We start from the raw sequence: 21,406 nt of genomic DNA, 5'->3' as shown, positions 1-21,406 counted from the left end.
ACACTTAGCTTATATCTTACATGAGTGGTAAGAACATTTTAAGGAGGGTCTTCTTGTTTGGTTAATCTTCTCTCACAAAACTGGATTAAAAGCATTCAGAGAATTGACAATTGTAACTTTGGCCAATACAGATTAGTCCAGACAAATATAAAGACATTGTATGAGAGTAGCAAATATGAATGAAAATATAATACAGTTATTATAAAATTGTTAGAAGAATCTGAAAGCAATGCTATTTGGAATACTCTTTTATATGCTGTAAATCTTAGGAAAACAAAGGGATCCTGCTAAAATTCATATATATGTTGGGGGAAAAACAGTGATAATCAACTTCTTGAAAACAAATTTTCAGGGATTACAGCTGACCACATCATTTACTTTAGCATATTGAAATTGGCCAATCATATCAATGTTGGCCAATCTAACCAAGATTTTTTTTTTTACATCCTTAGAGAATTAAATTAGAAGTTGTTCCAACATACTGAGCCTGTCCAAGCATTCCAAATAACATTACTTCTATGGCAAGCAAGATTTCAAAATAGTATGTGCCACTGGGTCAGTGATTGTCAAAAGTGGTCCCTGGTGCAGAGGCAACAGCATTACCAAGGATCTTGTTGTATTTAAAACTCTTGGGCCCCATCCCTGACCACAGATGGGCCCCCAATCTGGTTTAACAAAGCCAACCCCTCCAGGTGATTCTAATGCAAGCTCAAGACTGAGAACAAGGGTACTAGATGTTCCCAACATTGCTGCAACAAATTGATGCAATTTTATTAATGAAAGCAGTTTGTATTAATCCAATCTCACGCTGCCAATAAAGACATACTCAAAACTGGGTAATTGATAAAGGAAAGAGGTTTAATTGACTCACAGTTCCGCATAGCTGGGGAAGCCTCAGGAAACTTATGATCATGGTGGAAGGGGAAGCAAACAAGGTCTTCTTCACCTGGCAGCAGCAAGAAGTGAAGCGCGAATGGGGGGAAAAGCCCCTTCTAAAATCATCAGATTTTGTGAGAACTAACTCATGATCAGAATAGCATGGGGGTAACTGCCCGCATGATTCAATTACCTCCCACCCGGTCCCTCCCACAACATGTGGGGATTATGGGAACTACAATTCAAAATGAGATTCGGGTGGGGACACAGGCAAACTGTATCACGGTTTGAACTGAATGAAATGAAATTAGAGATATTTTTGCACCTTATCTCCTATGTTGGTGTCAATGTTATGTTGCTTTCATGTCGGTTGGTGACCTTTTTTCCTGGCCTTTGGAAGAAATTATGTGATGTTGGCATTATTTCTTCCTTAAAAGTGTGGTAGATTTCAAAGGCATTAGGGATTGGAGTTTTCTTTGTGGGAACCTTTTAAATTAGAGATGAAATGTCTTTAATAGTTATAGGATGATTCCAATTTTCTATTATGTTTTGTGTCCATTTAGGTAAGACTTTTTTCTAGAAATATTTCTGTTCCACTTAAATTTTCAAATACATAGGCATAAAGTTATTCATCATGTCTTCTTATGATCTTTTGGTGCTGAAGAATCTGAAATGATATTCCCTTTTCAAATTTCTGACATTAATTTCTGGTTGGAATCTCTTCTTTTTATTCATGGAGTCTGTTCTGATTTGATCGATTGTTTTCTAGGATTACAGCACAACACTCAATCTGGGATTTCTTTTCTATCTGCACCTGCGGATCACAAGGTCAGGAGCTTGTGATCCTGACCAACATGGTGAAACCCTGTCTCTACCAAAAATACAAAAATTAGCTGGGCATGGCATGGTGGCACACGCCTGTAATCCCAGCTACTCGGGAAGCTGAGGCAGGAGAATCGCTTGAACCAGGGAGTTGGAGGTTGCAGCGAGCTGAGATCATGCCACTGCACTCCAGCCTGGCGACAGAGTGAGATTCTGTCTCAAAAAAAAAAAAGATATTAATTATCCACTTATTCATCAAGCTCTGCTCAGAGGGCTTTGGGTTGTATATAAGACAATGCTAATTTGTCACCTGTGAGGAGCTTCCAAAGAATATAGTACAGATTCAGAGGCAGTGGGTTTTAGATTTTGTTTTTCTTTTTGAAACATATTTTTGGGTTAGATGCAGTGGCTCACGCCTGCAATCCCAATGTTTTGAAAGGCAGAGGTGAGGGGATTGCTGGAGGCCAGGAGTTTGAGACAAGCCTGGGCAACATAGTGAGAACCTGTCTCTACAATAATATGTTTTTAAAAATGTTTGTGTGGGTTGGAGCTCTGATGGTAATTGCTTATGTGTCTGCCTTCCTCCACTAGACTTGAGCCCTAGAAGGCACAGGCTGCATTTGTCTTATTCACAGATGTATCCCCCACGCCTGGGGCAGAGCTTGTACATAGGAAGTTTTCAAGAAATATCTGGTGAATGAATGTAATTCAGTGACTACATGCCTTTATTTACAATAGTATGTATTCTAGTGTGCTGTGATAATTTGTTAGTTTATGAAATCTCTATTTTATGCATCTTTGTTAAGATGACATGTATCAAACACTTAGTACAATGTCCGGAACATACATGGTAGGTATTTTCTTTTTCTTTTTGAGACGGGGTCTCGTTCTGTTGCCCAGGCTGGACTGTGCAATCTCTGCTCACTGCAGCCTTGGCCCCCAGGGCTCAAGCAGTTCTCCCACCTCAGCCTCCCAACTAGCTGGGACCACAGGCATGCACCACCATGCCAGGCTAATTAAAAAATATATATATATTTGTAAAGATGAGGTCTCACTATGTTGCCCAGGCTTGTGTCCAACTCCTGGGCTCATGTGACCCTCCTGCCTTGGCCTCCCAAAATGCTGGGATTTCACGTGTGAGCCACCACATGGGGCCTAGGTCTTTTTTAAATGTTAATTTTCTTATTTTCTTCCCTTTGCATTTCTTTGCATCTAGCACAATCTCTAATACATAGTAGGCGTTCAGTGATTTAGAGATCACTGTAAACAATCCAAGAACCACTGGCAAAATGTGTGTGTGTGTGCATGCACGTGTGTCTGCCTGTGTGTCCGCACGCACACGTGTGTGTCTGCCTGTGTGTCTGCGCATGCACGTGTGTGTCTGCCTGTGTGTCGGATGCATGCATCATTTGGGGAAAGAAGTTTCAACTTTATGTCATAAGAGTCTTCAGTGTTGCTGAAGAATGGCTGTTGTAGATTAAGGAGTGACTAGCTTTGGGAATGAGGTAAGAATCTACATCTGTGGAGATTGGAACAAAAATTTAGAGAGACTATTTTCTGAACTCAGAACCGATCATAGTGTTGGACAAGTTTAAGTCCCACAGGGCCCATTTAAAATTAAGATTGTCCCAAAGATGACACAGGAATTAATTTGAGAGGACTACCAATGGTCAAATTTGGGACAATTTGAGCATCAAAAAGAATGAGAAATACACACACACAGAATTTTTTTTCTTTTTTTTTGAGACAGAGTTTTGTTCTTGTCCTTCCTTCCGGGTGTGCAGCAGGACCCTCTCTGGAATGGGGGTCTTATGACCTACAGTCAAACCAGGTAGGTTGGATAATTTCTTGATGGCCAGTTTATGCACAGAAAGGTGTGGTGGTTTAGGGGGAGGGAGTTAGAGTAATATTTTTAGGTTTGGTTTCACCGCTGGCAAGGGGAAGGAGGAAGGTTTCTGGTTTCTTTTTTTTTTTTTTTTTTTTTTTGAGATGGAGTTTTGCTCTAGTGCCCAGGCTGGAGTGCAGTGTCACAATCTTGGCTCACTGCAACCTCCGCCTCCCACATTCAAGCGATTCTCCTGCCTCAGTCTCCAGAGTATCTGGGATTACAGGCATGTACCACCACACCTGGCTAATTTTGTATTTTTAGTAGAGATGGGGTTTCACCATGTTGGCCAGGCTGGTCTCGAACTCCTAACCTCAGGTGATCCGCCTGCATCGACCTCCCAAAGTGCTGGGATTACAGGAGTGAGCCACTGCGCCCTGCCAGTTTCTGGTTTCTAAACCCTGCCTTGGGGAAGAGGGATTCTAGTTTCTATGACTAGCCTCAGGGGAGAATAAGAGGCCAGAGACAGAAGGGCAGGAGACGGTCAGAGAGAGCTGCTTCTGAAGCCTTTATCTTAGGGTATCATCTTCTTTTTTATTTTTTCAGAGACAGGGTCTCACACTGTCACCCAGGTTGGAGTGCAGTGGTGGGATCATAGCTCACTACAGACCCCAACTCCTGGGCTCAAGCAGTCCTCTCACCTCAGCCTCCCAAGTAGCTAGAACTACAAGTGTGTGCCACCAAGCCCAGCTCATTTTAAAATTTTTTGTAGAGACTCCTGGTTTCAAGCGATTCTTGTACCTCAGCTTTCCAAAGTGCTGGAATTCTAGGTGTGAGGCACTGCACCCGGCCCTGGACTATCATTTCCTGAGACGGTACACTTCCCAGCAGTAAAAAGGAATGAACCACTGACATGCAGATCAACATGGATGAATCTAGAAAACATCATCCTTAGTGAAAAAAGCTAAACACAAAAGACTATATATTAGATGGTTCCATTTATAGGAAGTTATGGAACAGTCAAAATTAATCTATGATGATAAAATTAGAACAGTGGAGAGGTACATTTTTCTCCTTTGGAGTTAGTAAGTAACAAGTGCATGAGAACTTTCTGGAGTAATGGAAATTTCTATATCCATTGGGAGTATTGGTTAAATTCAGGTGTTGGTTACACAAGTATATACATATGTCAAAATTCATCAGATTACATATTACCTAATATCTATGCATTTCATTTTATGTAAATGATACCCTAATAAAACCAAGGGAAAATAGAATAACCATAGTAATGGATTATAACACATAAAATAAAAAAAAGTTTATGAGTCCATAGTGATACCCCAGAAAAAGGGCGGGAGCTCCTTTTGGGGGGGAATATTACCTAATAAAAGAGGAAGCAATGGTAGAATTAGAAAGTTACAATTTTGCAACCACCAGCATGATAATCCAGGGAGGGATCATCAAGGGATGATAAAAACTACTGGGTTGGCCAGGTGTGGTGGCTCACACCTGTAATCCTAGCACTTTGGGAGGCCAAGGTGGGTGGATCACGAGGTCAGGAGATCGAGACCATCCTGGCTAACATGGTGAAACCCCGTCTCTACTAAAAATACAAAAAAAACCCAAAACAAAACAAAAAAAACTACTGGGTGGGGGCTGGGCGCGGTGGCTCACGCCTGTAATCCCAGTACTTTCGGAAGCCAAGGCGGGTGGATCACCTGAGGTTGGGAGTTCCAGACCAGCCTGGCCAAAATGGTGAAACCCCATCTCTACTAAAAAAAAAAAAAAAAAAAAAAGCAAAACTTGCAATGTGAAGTGGCTCGTGCCTGTAGTCCCAGCTACTCGGGAGGGAGGCTGAGGCAAGAGAAGAAGAACAGAAGGTTGCAGTGAGCCGAGATTGCGCCACTGCACTCCAGCCTGGGCAACAGAGCGAGACTTCATCTCAAAACAAACAAACACAAACATTACTGGGTGAAAGGTGGGTGGAGAACAAGACAGTCTCGTAGTCTTGAAGGCCACAGATTACTTATTAACCCCAAAATGTATGTTTCCAATGAAGACATATTAAGTTTGATCCAACAGATCAAACTTAGCATCATCAATAATGGGACACATTTACATTATTTCTTTCTGATATGAAGCAATGGGAAAGACACACCATCACCTGTTTAATATTCTAGCCATAAAAGCTTAATCCTAACCAAATCATGAGAAAACAATAAAGCAGATCCAGATGTCAGGGTATTCAGTACAACTGGCCCGGACCCCAAAACTGTCAATATCCCGAAAGGACAAAAGAGATGAGGGACTCTTCTAGATTAAAAGACAGTGACAAGACATAGCTTTCAAATGTATGCATGATCCTTTACTGAACTCTGGACTGGGGGGAAGAGACTGTAAGGGACATTTGGGGGGTAATTGCAGATATTTGAATATGGATTATAAGATAAATAATGGCCAGGCATGGTGGCTCATGCCTGTAATCCCAGCAGTTTGAGAGGCCAAGGTGGGCAGATCACTTGAGGTCAGGAGTTCGAGACCAGCCTGGCCAACATGGTGAAACCCCATCTCTACTAAAAATACAAAAGTCAGCTGGGTGTGGTGGTGGGTGCCTGTAATCTCAGCTACTCGTGAGGCTGAGGCAAGAGAATCGCTTGAACCTGGGAGGCAGAGGTTGTGGTAAGCCGAGATCACACCACTGTGTTCCAGCCTGGGCTACAAAGCAAGACTCCATGTCAAAAAAGAAAAAAAGCCTGGGCATGGTGGTTCATGCCTGTAATCCCAGCACTTTGGGAGGCCAAAGCAGGCGGATCACCTGAGGTCAGGAGTTTGAGACCAGCCTGACCAACATGGAGAAACCCCATCTCTACTGAAAATACAAAATTAGCCAGGTGTGGTGGCGCATGCCTGTAATCCCAGCTACTTGGGAGGCTGAGGTAGAACAATAGCTTGAACCCAGGAGGCAGAGGTTGTGGTGAGCTGAGATTGTGCCATTGCACTCCAGCCTGGGCAAAAAGAGTGAAACCCTGTCTTAAATAAATAAATTTAAAAAAAGATAAATTGTATCAATATTAAATTTCTTGGGTGTGATGGTATCATAGTTTTTAGGAGCATGTCCTTGATCTTAGGAGATACATTCTAAAATATGCAGGTGAAGTGTCATAATATCTACAATTTACTTTCAAATGGTTTAGCAAAAAATGGCTTAGCAGGATGGGTGCAGTGGCTCACATCTGTAATCCCAACACTTTGAGAGGCTGAGATGGGAGGATCCCTTGAGCCCAGGAGCCCAAGGCTACAGTGAGCTATGATCGTGCCACTGCACTCCAGCCTGGGCAACAGAGCGAGACCCTGTCTAAAAAAAAAAAAATGTTTAGCAAAACTAACACAAACCCTCTCTACGTATAAATGAAGTATAGAGAGAGATACATATATGGAAAGAGCTGTATATATACATATATGTATATATACATATATGTATGTGTATATATGTATATATACACATATATATGTATGTATATGTATATATACACATATGTACGTATATGTATATATGTGTATGTATATATACACATATGTATATATGTATATATACACATATATGTATATATGTATATAGGCACACATGTATATATGTATATAGGCACACGTGTATATATGTATATATACACACGTGTGTATATGTATATATACACACGTGTGTATATGTATATATACACACGTGTGTATATGTATATATACACACGTGTGTATATGTATATATACACACGTGTGTACATATGTATATATACACACGTGTGTACATATGTATATATACACACGTGTGTACATATGTATATATACACACGTGTGTACATATGTATATATACACACGTGTGTACATATGTATATATACACACGTGTGTACATATGTATATATACACACGTGTGTACATATGTATATGTATATACACACGTGTGTATATATGTATATGTATATACACACGTGTGTATATATGTATATGTATATATACACGTGTGTATATATGTATATGTATATATACACATATATGTACATATGTGTATATATGTATATGTATATATACACATATATGTACATATATGTGTATATATACACAGAGAGAAAGATAAAATATAGTTTTAGTAGCTGACAAGTCTAAGCAAAGGGTATATGAGTGTTAATGGTGTATCTTTTAACTTTCTGTAGATTTGAAAAACTTCCCCAAAAATGCTGCGAGAATAATAAGATAGTGCAAAGAAAGTGCTTGGCCAATGGTAAGTGCTCAATAAAGGGTAGATCTTACCCAGAAGTATAAGCCCCATGAGGGCAGGAAATTTTGTTTATTTTATTTAGCACAATATCCACAGCACCTATAACAGTGCCTGGCACATAAGATAGTACTTAACAAACATTTAAAAGACAAATCATGGAGAGGTTGTACATTAGAAATGTAATGTAAAAAAAAATCACTGTAAAAAATGACACCACAGGACAATGCATAGTTGCATGGGACAGCTGTTACCATGGCCTGATATAACAGTGCCAGTTGCTTTGATTAAAGTGACTTCTTGGCAGGGTGCCATGACTCATGCCTGTAATCCCAGCACTTTGGGAGGCTGAAGCGGGAGGATTGCTTGAGCCCAGGAGCTTGGCGGCTGCAGTGAGCTATAATCACACCACTGTACTCCAGGCTGGGCCACAGAGCAAGACTTCAAAAAAAAAAAAAAAAAAAAAAGTCCCAGAAAATCTGTCTGCCCAATTGAGATGAGTTTGGCGATTTATTTACAAGAGTTAATGTTCTCTGAATAGCATCATCATGTTTGGTTAAGCCATTTGGGATTACGGTGGAAAAAAAATTAGCCAGTTTGGGAGCTTCATTTTTTTTCTAGTGCTGATTAAAATTGACATCAACAGACCTCTGGTGGGAGAGGTACTTCGCCCTCTGGTGGTGAGAGACACTCAGCTTTTTTTTTTTTTTTTTGAGACAGAGTCTTGCTCTGTGGCCCAGGCTGGAGTGCAGTGGCGCGATCTCGGCTCACTGCAAACTCCGCCTCCCGGGTTCAAGCAATTCTCCTGCCTCAGCCTCCAGGGCAGCTGGGACTACAGGCGCGCTTCACCCCGCCCAGCTAATTTTTGTGTTTTTGGTAGAGACGGGGTTTCACCATATTGACCAGGCTGGTCTCGAACTCCTGACCTCGTGATCTGCCCGCCTCGGCCTCCAAAAGTGCTGGGATTACAGGCCTGAGCCACCGCGCCTAGCCTCAGCTAGTTTCTACGGAAAAGGCTGGCAGAGCAGAGGTGAAGTGGAAAAGAGTGTCTTTCCACAGAGGTTTCTGGAAACATGTCCCCTTACTTCATGGTCACATGGTATCTGTAAGGACTGAATTTGAGGTTGTCATTTTTGACCCAGTGAATACCCAGCTTTGGTGAATGCCTGGGCCAGGCTAGACTGACAAAGATAGGAACTGAGGAATGGAAAGTGACATTTGCAGTTGGGTCAAAGCTGAGGTGGGAAGATTTGTCCCTAGCATGATGAGTGCCAAGGGAAACCTGGAGGGCCATGTGAACTGTGAAATTAGTCAGGATCCTGTCTCCTCACCGCGACAAGGGTGAGAATATCCATCACCATATGCCTCAGGAAGAGCTCTGGGTGGAATCCCTGGGCTGTGGATTCCCTGGTAAGGCTGGCTGCTGCCCGGACAGCTCACCAATGCCCTGTTTGTATCCCTGGAAATGCCTTTTCTTTTTATGTCTTTTTAAAGTTAATTTCACATATTAGAAGACTTTTTTTTCTTGAATCTAGAAATGATACATAGCTGGTGCAAAAAGTTATGAAAAGTATTGTTATTGAACCAAAGTGAGGGCTGCTTACCTGGTGCAGCAAAGCCACTGACATTGGGATTACAGCAAGAGAAAGTGAGGCATTTATTATTGCACTTGCTGCAGGGTGCCAAGCGAGGAGAATCAAACAGCTTATGCTTAAGACCTGAACTCCCTTATGGCTTACAGGGGTTTTATTTTATTTTTTTGAGACAGAGTCTTGCTCTGTCGCCCAGGCTGGAGTGCAGTGGTGCAATCTCAGCTCACTGCAACCTCTGCCTCCTGGGTTCAAGCGATTCTCCTGCCTCAGCTTCCCGAGTAGCTGGGATTACAGGCACGTGCCACCATGCCTGGCTAATTTTTGTATCTTTAGTAGAGACGGGGTTTTGCCGTTTTGGTCAGGCTGGTCTCGAACTCCTGACCTCAGGTGATCCACCTGCCTCGGCCACCCAAAGTGCTGGGATTATAGGTGTGAGCCACCGCGCCCAGCCGGCTTACAGGTTTTTAATGGCAGGAGGGCAGAGGCCACAGGCGAAGTCATAAATCAATACATAGGGGCTGTATATTGGTTCCACCTAAAAAGACAGGACATCTCCAACCAGGGGCCCACAAGTGGATTCAAAGATTTTCTGACTTGTAATTGGTTAAGGAGGTAAAGCTTTGTCTAAAAATTTGGGATCTGCAGAAAAGAATGTTAGCTCTGACTTATGGTCGTGTCCTCCTCCAGGCCCCCTAGGAAGAAATTTATAACAAAAAATAGAAGTCAAAGTTTAGTTCTCAGCTCTCCCTTATCTGAGTTTGCCTATCAGCAGATCCATTTGGTGGGGGTTCGAGTTTCTAAGAAACAACACTCAGGGACAAATTTTAAGATGTTATATTCAGTTTCTATAGGGAACAAAATATCTCCTGACTGTAACTTCTTTGGCTATTTTTTTTTTTTTTTCTGAGATGGAGTCTCATCCTGTCATCAAACTGGAGTGCAGTGGCGTGATCTCGGCTCACTGTGACCTCTGTCTCCAGGGTTCAAGTGATTCTCCTGCCTCAGCCTCCCAAGTAGCTGGGACTACAGGTGCATGCCACCACGCCCAGCTAATTTTTGCATTTTTAGTAGAGATGGGGTTTCACCATGTTGGCCAGGCTGGTCTCGAACTCCTGACCTCATGATCTGACTACCTCGGCCTCCCAAAGTGCTGGGATTACAGGTGTGAGCCACTGGGATTACAGGTGTGAGCCACTGCACCCGGCTGAGTTTATTTTTGTATAATGTGAGAGATGAGGATCCAGTTTCATTCTTCTGCATGTGGCTTGCCAGTTATCACCAGCTGTTGAATAGGGTGTCCTTTCCCCACTTTATGTTTTTGTTTGCTTTATCGAAGATCAGTTGGCTATAAGTATTTGGTTTTATACTGTGTTCTCTATTCTGTTCCATTGGTCTATGTGCCTATTTTTATACCAGTACCATGCTGTTTGGGTGACTATGGCCTTATTGTATAGATTGAAGTCAGGTAATGTGATGCCTCCAGATTTATTCTTTTTGCTTAGTCTTGCTTTGGACATGCAGGCTCTTTTTTGGTTCCATATGATTTTTAGGATTCTTTTTTCTAGTTCTATGAAGATGGATGGTGAGTCTACTCCTTTTAGATGGGGTGTGAGGATGGTAACCATAGTGCCAGTTCACCTGGGAGAGTCACTTTTATGCCTACCGTCCCGGTGTAATTATTTATTGTGTCTTTTCATTCTTTAAAGTGTTCTGGTTTGAGCAGTAAGTTACAGTCATCTTAGTTATGAGTCACAATCTTCACCATTCCCTGTTACATCACACTTAGCTCTCCTCTTTCATTTTTATTACAGGCCCCCTGCTAGGAAGGGAAAAAGTGTGTGTGTGTTGGGTGGGGGGAGTCAGTGCCATCCTGCCACAGAAGTTAGCTGAAAAAATGAGTATTAGAGACAACATGCTATCTGGTGGATAGAAATTAGGACAGGGTTTTCATCTGACAGAGAATATGATGTCACAATTTACTAATCCCTTTCCCTTCCATTATTTAATTTCACAACAACCTACCCAGTTACACAACTTATCCAGTTTGAGACTGCGTTTCTTTGTGTATGGATCTGCTGTCTTCCCCTGTAACCTGCATTTCGTGATAAAGGATCCCAGGCCGTTCTGCTCACCACTGTATCCCAGACACCCTCCCTTTCCCCTAGACATGGTTTGGTGTCGGGCGCAGAGAAAGCCCCAGGAACTACGATTGATCAGGCTCCCAGAATCTATAGATGGAGTGACCTGACGAGGACACAGGCGCAGTGGCAGAGCGCGATGACTTGGTCGATGTCCGCGGTGAGTCACGTGTAGAGAGAAGCAGGCAGGAAGCGGACTCGAGGGCCTGACTCCTGACCTGAAGCCCAGGATCATTTCTTGGCCAGCTGCCTGCATCCTGCCCAAATCGGCGAGAGAAATGGGAGAATGTGGACCTTGGGAGATTTCGCCGAAATGCTGGGCCCGGGGGCCAGAGAAACCGGCAGTGCAGGAAAGGCCACATCTCTTTTCCCACCTACCCCGCTGCCGCGCAGGACTACAATTCCCAGTAGCCTCCACGCCGCACACGGTCCCTGCCACGCGGCTTGCGCCTCCGCCGACGGCCCACTGGGGGCGCTGCGGCGACCCCTCCGCCGCCCCGTAGAAATCTCCGCGGCCCCGAGGCCGCTTGCTTCCTGTTTGTCCGACGAGGAGACATGGCGGCGGCGCCGGTAGCGGCTGGGTCTGGAGCCGGCCGAGGGAGACGGTCGGCAGCCACAGTGGCGGCTTGGGGCGGATGGGGCGGCCGGCCGCGGCCTGGTAACATTCTGCTGCAGCTGCGGCAGGGCCAGCTGACCGGCCGGGGCCTGGTCCGGGCGGTGCAGGTACGAGGCTGGACCAGGAGGGGCGGGGCGGGGCGGACCAGGCGGGAGCTGGCGGGGGGCCGGGGAAGAGGCCTTTCCAGGCCGCCGCTGGACGGGCCAAAGCCCTTTTGGCTGGCCGGAAGGCCTCCCTGTGAGCTGCCCGGACGCTCTCAGCTGCAGCGGGGCCGTGGGAAGCAGCTGGCTTGATGTCCCTTGTCAGGGGCCGAGCGGGGCTGGGCTGCTGTGGACACTGATGGCGTGTACGAACCCTGGGCCCAGTTTCTGGATCCTCCCTTCTTTGCGCCACGTCTACACGTCTGGGGGACCCTGTCGTGTTTGTTTTAGCCTCTGTGGGCCTCGAGTTTATCCCGTGTATTGGGCGTGGGGGAGGGGGTCATCATTGCAGCCCCCAAATGGTTCCCGAGCATTTCATAAATGTCATTTTCTCAGGCCTTTCCTTGACACTCTTTCCTTCCCCTTTCTAAAGTAGGTCCCCATTGTTATTCTGTCACAGCCGCGAATTCGTTTCGTTTACATTACTTTCTTAGTCTATAATTTCGTATTTCTTTGTTGTCTGCCTTTTTCTCGCCCGTCTCCCACATTAGGCTGAGTTCCAGCGGGTGCAGAGACTATATCTGGTTTGCTAGTGTAGAGCGTCACGGTTAAGAGGGACTCTGGAGTCAGGCCTGGGTTCAAAGCCCTGCTCCTCTCTCTTGCTTGGGCAGGTGACCTTTCTGTGCCTCAGTTTCCTCACTTGTAAGATGAAGATGAGAATTAGTAACCTACCTTTTAAGATTGTTGTGGAGATCAAAGGGGGCAATTGTGTAAAGCATTAGTGCATTTCTGGTGCATACTAAGGGCTGAAGGTAGTTAATATTAAGCATCTGACTTATAACAGGTGCCCAACATATGATTATTGTTATTTTTGAGTGAGCGAAGGACACTGCTTTAGGGTAAACCAGGTTGAATAGGACCTAGTCCACTACTTCTTCCACCCTCCCCCACCCCGAACCTTGCTAACACCTGTAAAACATTAGCTTTATTTAAAGACAGCTTTTTCATAAAAAGTTTGAAGGATACTCAAGAAACTGATAAAGTGGTTGGTGGGAGTGAGGTGGGAATTGGGCTAAAGGGGGAGAAAATGGGAGTGAGACTTTTCACAGTGTAACTTTATTTAAATTTAATTTGAATATCACTTCCTCAAATGACGAAAAGGATAGAATAAAATAAAGGCTAGGGGGTCTGTGTGTATGGAGGACTGTGGACGAAAGGAGCAGTTGTGAGTGAGAAATGTTTTCCTGGCCATCACACAACCATAGATGAGCAGCCTTTTTCCCCCTTGTGTTCTTAAGACCTGACTTAAGACCCTGTAATCCCAGCACTTTGGGAGGCCGAGGCAGGCAGATCGCTTGAATCCAGGAATTCGAGACCAGCCCAGGCAACACGGCAAAATCCTGTGTCTCCAAAAATTTAGCCGGGCATGGTGGTGGTGTGTGCCTGTGGGGAGGCTGAGGTGGGAGGATTACCTGAGCCTGGGAGGCGGAGATTGACAGAGTGAGACCCTGTCTCAAAAAAAAAAAAAAATCCTAGAAATACTTGCTCTTTCCTTCTTAAGCTAAGATACCTTACCGAGCTGGGTGTGTAGAGACAGGCAGAAAGAGGACTAACTTTTAGTGAGCACATAACCTTTAGAAAAAGTACGGTACAAGGCATATGTTATCTTTAATCCTCAAGCTTTTGAGTTATGCTTCAAGACTCATTTCTTAATATGGATGAGGAAACTGAGGCTCAGAGAGGTTAGATGATATGTTCCTAAACACCCATCCTGATAATCAGTGTTCTGAGAATAATAGGGAGCCACAGAAGTTCTTTAGCATGATAAATGAGGCAATTTAGGCAACTTAATTTGTTTCCAGTGCTGAATGACTTAGAATGGGAGGAGCCTAGAAAAGCCCACCAGAGGCTGGGCACAGTGGCTCATTCCTGTAATCCCAGTGCTTTGGGAGGTCGAGGCGGGTGGATCATCTGAGGTCAGGAGTTTGAGACCAGCCTGGCCAACATGGCGAAGCCCCGTCTCTACTAAAAATACAAAAATTAGCCGGGCGTGGTGGTAAGCACCTGTAATCCCAGCTACTCTGGAGGCTGAGGCAGGAGAATTGCTTGAACCTGGGAGGTGGAGGTTGTGAGCTGAGATCACGCCACTGCACTCCAGCCTGGGTGACATAGTGAGACTTCATCTCAAAAAAAAAAAAAAAAAGCTCACCAGATACAAGGCTGCTGGAATATTCTGGAGCCACAAAAGCAAGGCAGGTTATTGTGGTAACTGATGGTTGTATATAGGTGTGGGAGCTATTTCAGAAGTTGAAGTAGAGACCCCCTGCCTGGAGCTATAGTGAGGATAAAATGGGGACCTTCATCTTTCAAATATTTCTTTTCTTAGTTTTTTTTTTTTTTAATTTATTCCATGCTGTGCCCTTCCGCTCCTCTCTCCCATCCTGCAGAATAAGTTATTTGCTTACCCTTTTTTTTTTTTGAGACAGAATCTTGCTCTGTCACCCAGGCTGGAGTGCAGTGGCAAGCTCAACTTCCTGGGCTCAAGTGATCCTCCCACCTTAGCCTCCCTAGTAGCTGGGACTACAGGCGTGTGCCACCACACCCCATTAATTTTTGTATCTTTGGTAGAGACAGGGTTTTGCTCTGTTGCCCAGATTACCCATATTTTTATACTGTTATGGCATGTGGTATAGTAGGAAAAGACCAGATTTAAACATTTTTTATTTTTTATTTTTTAGACGGAGTCTCGCTCTGTTGCCCAGACTGGAGTGCAGTGGCGCAATCTCGGTTCACTGCATCCTCCGTCTCCCGGATTCAAGCAATTCTGCCTCAGCCTCCTGAGTAGCTGGGATTACAGTCGTGTGCCACCACACCTGGCTACTTTTTGTATTTTTAGTAGAGATGGGGTTTCACCATGTCGGTCAGGCTGGTCTCCAACTCCTGACGTCATGATCCCCCTGCCTTGTCCTCCCAAAGTGCTGGGATTACAGGTGTGAGCCACTGCGCCTAGCCAAAATTTTTTCATTGTAGTAAACAAATATATAATATAGGCCAGGTACATTGGCTCATGTGTGTAATCCCAGCACTTTGGGAGACCAAGATGGGATGATCACCTGAGCCAGTTTGAGTCAAGCCTGGGCAGTGTGGTGGAGCCCCAGCTCTACTACAAAAAAAAAAAAAAAAAACATTAACCAGGTGTGGAAATGCATGCCTGTAGTCCCAGCTGCTCAGGAACCCGAGGTGGGAAGATCGCTTGAGCCTGGCAAGTCAAGGCTGCAGTGAGCCATGATCACACCATTACACTGCAGCCTGGGCAACAGAATGAGACCCTGCCTCAAACTATATACATATATAAATATATATATGTAAACATAAAATTTACCATCTTAACCATTTATAAGTGTATAGGTCAGGCCCAGTGTGGTGGCTTACACCTGTAATCCCAACACTTTGGGAAGCTGAGGTGAGCGGATTGTTTGAGCCCAGGAGTTTGAGACCAGCCTGGGCAACATGGTGAAACCCTGTATCTTAAAAAAAAAAGGTGTATAGTTAAGTAATGTGAAGTATATTCCCATTGTTGTGAAACAGATTTCCAGAACTTTTTCATCTTGCAAATCTGAAACTACCATTGAACAACTTCCCATTTCTCCCTCCCAGTCCTTGGTAACCATTCTTCTCCTTTCTGTTTTTGTGAGTTTGACTACTTTAGATAACCCCAGTATAGTAATACAGTATTTGTCTTTTTGTGACTGGCTTATTTTACTTAACATAATGTCCTCAAGGATCATCTGTGGTATAGCATGTGATGGAATTTCCTTGGAAAAAAAAATCAGATTTTAAAGTAAGGTGGACCTGAATTGAATCCTAGCAGGGTGACCAAGATTAAGTTATTTAACCTCTCTTAACTTCAGTTTCCTTATTTCTAAAGAGGTGATGATAACATCTATCCCATAAAGTTGTTAGGAGGATTAAGTGAAATAATATGTTTTAAAAGCGTAGCCAGTGTGGCATATAGGAATAGTTGTTTAGTAAATAGTTGCTCTCAGCTAGTAGTTAATTAGACTGGGCTTCCTGAAGAGACTGTGTCTTATTTTTCATTGTATCTGCAGAGCCTGAAACCTTGCCAGCCATTTGATATTCAGGAAATTGCTTAAATTGAAATACTGTGTCCTCAGTCTAATTTCTGTCTGTACTTGCCAAGCAATCTCATGGCTTTAAAGAGTTCCAGAGTCAGATTACCTAGGTTTGAAACCTAGCTCTGGTATTTACTTACTATGTGTCTTTAGGCAAGTTATTTAATCTGTTTATGCCTCAGTTTATTTATTTGTAAAGTAAGTATCATAGGACCTGACCTTCCAAGGTTGTGGTGAGGACCAAGTGAGTTGTACATATAAAGCACTTAAAATAGTGACTGAAACATACTTTCTCAGCTATAAGTACATAGCTTACTGCTATAAAGATTAGCTTGTATTGTTATTAATAACTGCTCTATACGCTGACGGATCCTAAGTTTCTGTTTCCATTCGTGTTTCTCCTTTTAGCTCTGGATGGGTAGGTATATCCAATTGCCTTCTAGCATTTCCACTTTGATGTCTAATGGGCATCTCAAACTTAGTATGTCGAAAGCCAAAATCCTCTCCCTTTTCCATCAGACCTGATCTTCTCCATCTCCCTAAATGGGGCATAAGGGAAGCCTGAGTCATGACTACTGGCCACATAATTTGTAATGGGTCAATTCTACTTGGATTTTAGTTTGCTTTATTTTCTTCCCTTCGTTTTGTTCTGCCCTCTGTCAAGGCAATAAAATATGCTGGGGTGATACTTTGGAGTTTACTGAGCCTTTTCATATTCATCAGCACATTTGATGCTTAATGCAAATCAGATCTTATAAATCCTTTGCTTAAAACTCTCCAGCCTCATCTCATTGCAGTTGATAGAATCAATTCTGGATTCCTTACCATGGGCGTACAAGGCCCCAAATGATCAGTACGAGTTGAAGGAAAGGATAGACTGAGTAAACGCTGGGCTCTAGGATAGTGCAGCTCACATTACAGGTCATGACCCGCCATCCCTGGATGCCCTTCAGTTTGGCAATCTGGTGACAGACTGGGTTGTGGGATGCTGTTATATTTCCCACATGGCAGTCGTTGCTTCCTTTATGATTATTGGCATATCTAAATGCCCCTGAGTGTTCCTTACTTTATATTTTTTCTTTAGATTCACTGACTTTTTTTTTTTTTTTGAGATGGAGTCTCGCTCTGTTGCCCAGGCTGGAGGGCAATGGTGCAATCTCAGCTCACTGCAAGCTCCGCCTCCCAGGTTCATGCCATTCTCCTGCCTCAGCCTCCCGAGTAGCTGGGACTACAGGTGCCCGCCACCACGCCTGGCTAATTTTTTTTTTTTTTTTGTATTTTTAGTAGAGACGGGGTTTCACCGTGTTAGCCAGGATGGTCTCGATCTCCTGACCTCATGATCCGCCCACCTCGGCCTCCCAAGGTGCTGGGATTACAGGTGTGAGCCACTGCGCCTGGCTGACTTCTTTTTTTTGTGAGATGGAGTCTCGTGCTGTTGCCCAGGCTGGAGTGCAGTGCACAGTCTCGGCTCACTGCAACCTCCGCTTCCCGGGTTCAAGCGATTCCCCTGCCTCAGCCTCCTGAGTAGCTGGGACTATAGGCATGTGCCACCATGCCCGGCTACTTTTTGTATTTTTAGTAAAGACAGGGTTTCACCATGCTGGCTAGGCTGGTCTCAAACTCTTGATCTCTTGATCCACCCACCTCAGCCTCCCAAAGTGCTGGGATTACAGATGTGAGTCGCCGTGCCCAGCCAGATTCACTAACTTTTAAAAAAAATTTCATTAGGCACTACTTGTTTTAGCCTCATTCTAACCATTAGTATTTATGAAACCTAGGCATTTAAGTCAAACAAATCTTACCTGGCTTTTCAAAGGTAATTTGATACTGAAAAACTCCTGATTAGGATAAAGTCTTATTCATATATATATACACACACACACACACACACACACACACACACACACACACACACACACACATATATACACACACACACATATATATACACATATATATATACACACACATACACACACACACACACACACACACACACACACACACACACACACATATGCCATTCATTTCAATGGGAAGTTTTCGTATTCACAAGCCCTTAAATTTGCTCCTAATTTTACTGAATCATACCCCATTAAAGGACACAAAAGTATTCAGTGGTTAACATGTATTGTCAGAATAACCCAACAAGGTATTTTATCTTTATTATCCTTTAAGATATCTATTTAGGCTGGGTGCGGTGGCTCACACCTGTAATTCTAGCACTTTGGGAGGCCGAGCTAGACGGATTCTTTAAGCTCAGGAGTTCAAGACCAACCTGGGCAAGATGGGTGAAACTCCATCTTTACTAAAAATACAAAAAATTATCCGGGCGTGGTGGTGCGTGCCTGTAATCCCAGCTACTTGGTGGCAGTGGTGGTGGTGTGGGGGGCTGGGAGGGGGAAGGGGGCAGGGCTGAGGTGGGAGGATCACTTGAGCCCAGGAGACGGAGGTTGCAGTGAGATTGCGCGAGACCCTTGCATTTAGTGTGGTATTTTGAGGCATTAGATGTCTTACATTTAGGATTAAAGAAACAAATAAGATGCACAGTTATCTTCATGGAATTTAGCCTTTAGTTATTTTTAAAAACAATAAAATCAGTGGAAACTGTAAATGTCTAGAAATGTCATATTTGCTAAACAGGTTGACAGTTTAGAGGGTATGATGTAAGAGATTATCACTGCTGTAAACTGTTAAACCACAAGTACTTCAAGAGAAAACCCATGTGATACCTGCCAGTAATTCAACTGGGAAGATGACTGAATGGTGGCACTTTTGTCACAGTGCTGAGCTGTTCACAAGGAAAACAAAATTCTAATGATTTTTTTTTTTTTTTTTAGACAGGGTCTTGCTCTGTTGCCCAGGCTGGAGTGTAGTGGTGAAAAAAAACTACTGAAACCTCCGCCTCCTGGGCTCAAGCAATCCTCCCACCTCAGCCTCCCGAGTATCTGGGACTATAGGCGCATGCCACCATACGCAGCTCATTTTTGTATTTTTTTGTAGAGATAAGGTTCTGCCATGTTGCCCAGGCTGGTCTTAAACTCCTGGGATCAAGCAATGGGCCTACCTTGGCCTCCCAAGTGCTAGGATATGAGTGTAAGCCGCTGTGCCCAGCCCCAAATTATTATTTTTAAATGAGAGTACATGCCTTGTAAGACAATGTATAAATAGTAAAGAAATTGCTTGTGAAGTCAAATATTTGGACTGTGATTAGATCTCTGCGTATCATGGAGCTTGTAACAAAAAAACAGCAGTGCCCTGCCTGCTTTGCACCTCTAAGTTCCATACTCCTAATGCTGTTCAGTGTCCATACTTAGCTATTTCTTTTGCAAGAGAAGGATCCAGGAAACAGGAGAGCCAGTATTTCTAAATAACATGGTTATAAAGCTGTTTCTTTTCACTTTTAGATACTATCTATTTTCTTCGCTCTTGAAAGACTAGGATTTAATTCACACATTCGATTCCTTCTTACTCGTCTCCACTAGTCTACCAATGTAGTTATATCACAGCTTTGGCTGTTGTTAAGTATTTACATTATGATGTTAGCATTATTATTTACAGCAGGGCCATATATTGTACAATTATATTTGTTTTATATAATTTTTTTGTAGTGTTAAAAACAGTCCTCTTCCATTTTTTAAATTGAAGGATAAATATACATATACCCTGTATATATATACATATACATATATATGCATATAAACATATATACATATACACATATATGCATATAAACATATATACATATACACATATATGCATATAAACATATATACATATACACATATATGCATATAAACATACATACATATACACATATATGCATATAAACATATATACATATACACATATATGCATATAAACATATATACATATACACATATATGCATATAAACATATATACATATACATATATACATATATACACATATATACGTATATACATATATAGATATATACATATATACACATATATACATATATACACACATATATACATATACCCTTTTGACTTTCATTAGCATAATAGTGCATCCTTTAATTTATTTTACTGTTTTTAAATTTGTATTAATGGGGTACAAGTGAAATTTTGCTACATTGGTGTATCGCATGGTGGTGAAGTCAGGTATAATGCATCCTTTTAAATTGTTTTGCCTTGTGTATACCTTTTTTTTTTTTGGGACGGAGTCTCGCACTGTTGCCCGGCTGGAGTGGAATGGCGCAATCTCGGCTCCCTGCAACCTATGCCCCCCGAGTAGCTGGGATTACAGGTGCCCGCCACCAAGTCTGGCTAATTTTTTTGTATTTTTAGTAGAGATGGGGTTTCACTATGTTGGCCAGGCTGGTCTCGAACTCCTGACCTCAGGTAATCCACCCACCTCGGCCTCCCAAAGTGCTGGGATTACAGGTGTGAGCCACCGCGCCCGGCCTGCTTTCTGTATACTTATAATTTGTTCCTAAATTCTAAAACTTTTTTTTTTTTTTAAAGAAATCATTTGAAGCCCTTCATTCCCCTACTGCAGTTTAGCAGTTTAGCAGTTTAGTTTAGCTGCTTACTAGGTCTGCTATACAGCTGAGTTCTTGGGACTTCTCTTCACCAAATCCAGAGCATTTTTCTTTCTTTTCTCATGTTTTAGACCTTGTTTCCTCAATTGTCTTCCTTTTTCCTGGGGCACACTCTCTGGTAGCCTCCCAAGAAAGAGTACATGGGAGGTAACTTTTTTTTTTTTTTTAAAGCTTGCAGATCAGAAAATGTCTTATTCTGACACATATATTTAGTTTGACTGGGTATAGAAGTATAAATTGGAAGTTATTTTCCTGTAATTTTTTTTTTTTTTGAGATGGAGTCTCGCTCTGTCTCCCAGATTGTAGTGCAGTGGCACCATCTCAGCTTTCTGCAACCTCCGCCTCCCAGGTTCAAGCGATTCTCCTGCCTCAGCCTCCCCTAGTAGCTGGGATTACAGGCGCCCACCATCACGCCCAGCTAATTTTTTT

General features: G+C 43.1%; 1 protein-coding gene across 9 annotated transcripts in view, besides 5 other annotated features; it reads left to right on the top strand.

The window, feature by feature from the left end:
• Positions 2,500 to 2,999: an enhancer, noted in NCBI's record as "H3K4me1 hESC enhancer chr20:33689663-33690162 (GRCh37/hg19 assembly coordinates)". NCBI's record gives its function as "activates a minimal SCP1, AML or CMV promoter by ChIP-STARR-seq in naive H9 embryonic stem cells {active_cell/tissue: H9 hESC(naive)}" and the evidence as "EXISTENCE:reporter gene assay evidence [ECO:0000049][PMID:30033119]".
• Positions 3,000 to 3,501: an enhancer, noted in NCBI's record as "H3K4me1 hESC enhancer chr20:33689161-33689662 (GRCh37/hg19 assembly coordinates)". NCBI's record gives its function as "activates a minimal SCP1, AML or CMV promoter by ChIP-STARR-seq in naive H9 embryonic stem cells {active_cell/tissue: H9 hESC(naive)}" and the evidence as "EXISTENCE:reporter gene assay evidence [ECO:0000049][PMID:30033119]".
• Positions 8,388 to 8,517: a silencer, noted in NCBI's record as "silent region_12853". NCBI's record gives its function as "represses an Ori minimal core promoter by ATAC-STARR-seq in GM12878 lymphoblastoid cells {active_cell/tissue: GM12878}" and the evidence as "EXISTENCE:reporter gene assay evidence [ECO:0000049][PMID:35858748]".
• Positions 12,052 to 21,406, top strand: part of TRPC4AP (transient receptor potential cation channel subfamily C member 4 associated protein) — a 90,404-nt gene continuing 81,049 nt past the window's right edge. For all 9 annotated transcript variants that reach the window (XM_047440096.1, NM_199368.2, XM_047440095.1 and 6 more), the window contains exon 1: positions 12,052 to 12,245. In XM_047440096.1, coding sequence (XP_047296052.1) covers positions 12,078 to 12,245 — 168 coding nt within the window. In that variant the 5' untranslated portion in view covers positions 12,052 to 12,077. The remainder of the gene's footprint in view (positions 12,246 to 21,406) is intronic.
• Positions 12,151 to 12,280: a silencer, noted in NCBI's record as "silent region_12852". NCBI's record gives its function as "represses an Ori minimal core promoter by ATAC-STARR-seq in GM12878 lymphoblastoid cells {active_cell/tissue: GM12878}" and the evidence as "EXISTENCE:reporter gene assay evidence [ECO:0000049][PMID:35858748]".
• Positions 13,807 to 14,366: an enhancer, noted in NCBI's record as "OCT4-NANOG hESC enhancer chr20:33678296-33678855 (GRCh37/hg19 assembly coordinates)". NCBI's record gives its function as "activates a minimal SCP1, AML or CMV promoter by ChIP-STARR-seq in naive H9 embryonic stem cells {active_cell/tissue: H9 hESC(naive)}" and the evidence as "EXISTENCE:reporter gene assay evidence [ECO:0000049][PMID:30033119]".

This window comes from Homo sapiens, chromosome 20 (assembly GCF_000001405.40).
Source record: "Homo sapiens chromosome 20, GRCh38.p14 Primary Assembly".
NCBI lineage: Eukaryota > Metazoa > Chordata > Mammalia > Primates > Hominidae > Homo > Homo sapiens.
The sequence above is the reverse complement of the archived record's forward strand: the minus strand, read 5'-3'. Positions and strand labels throughout refer to the sequence as shown.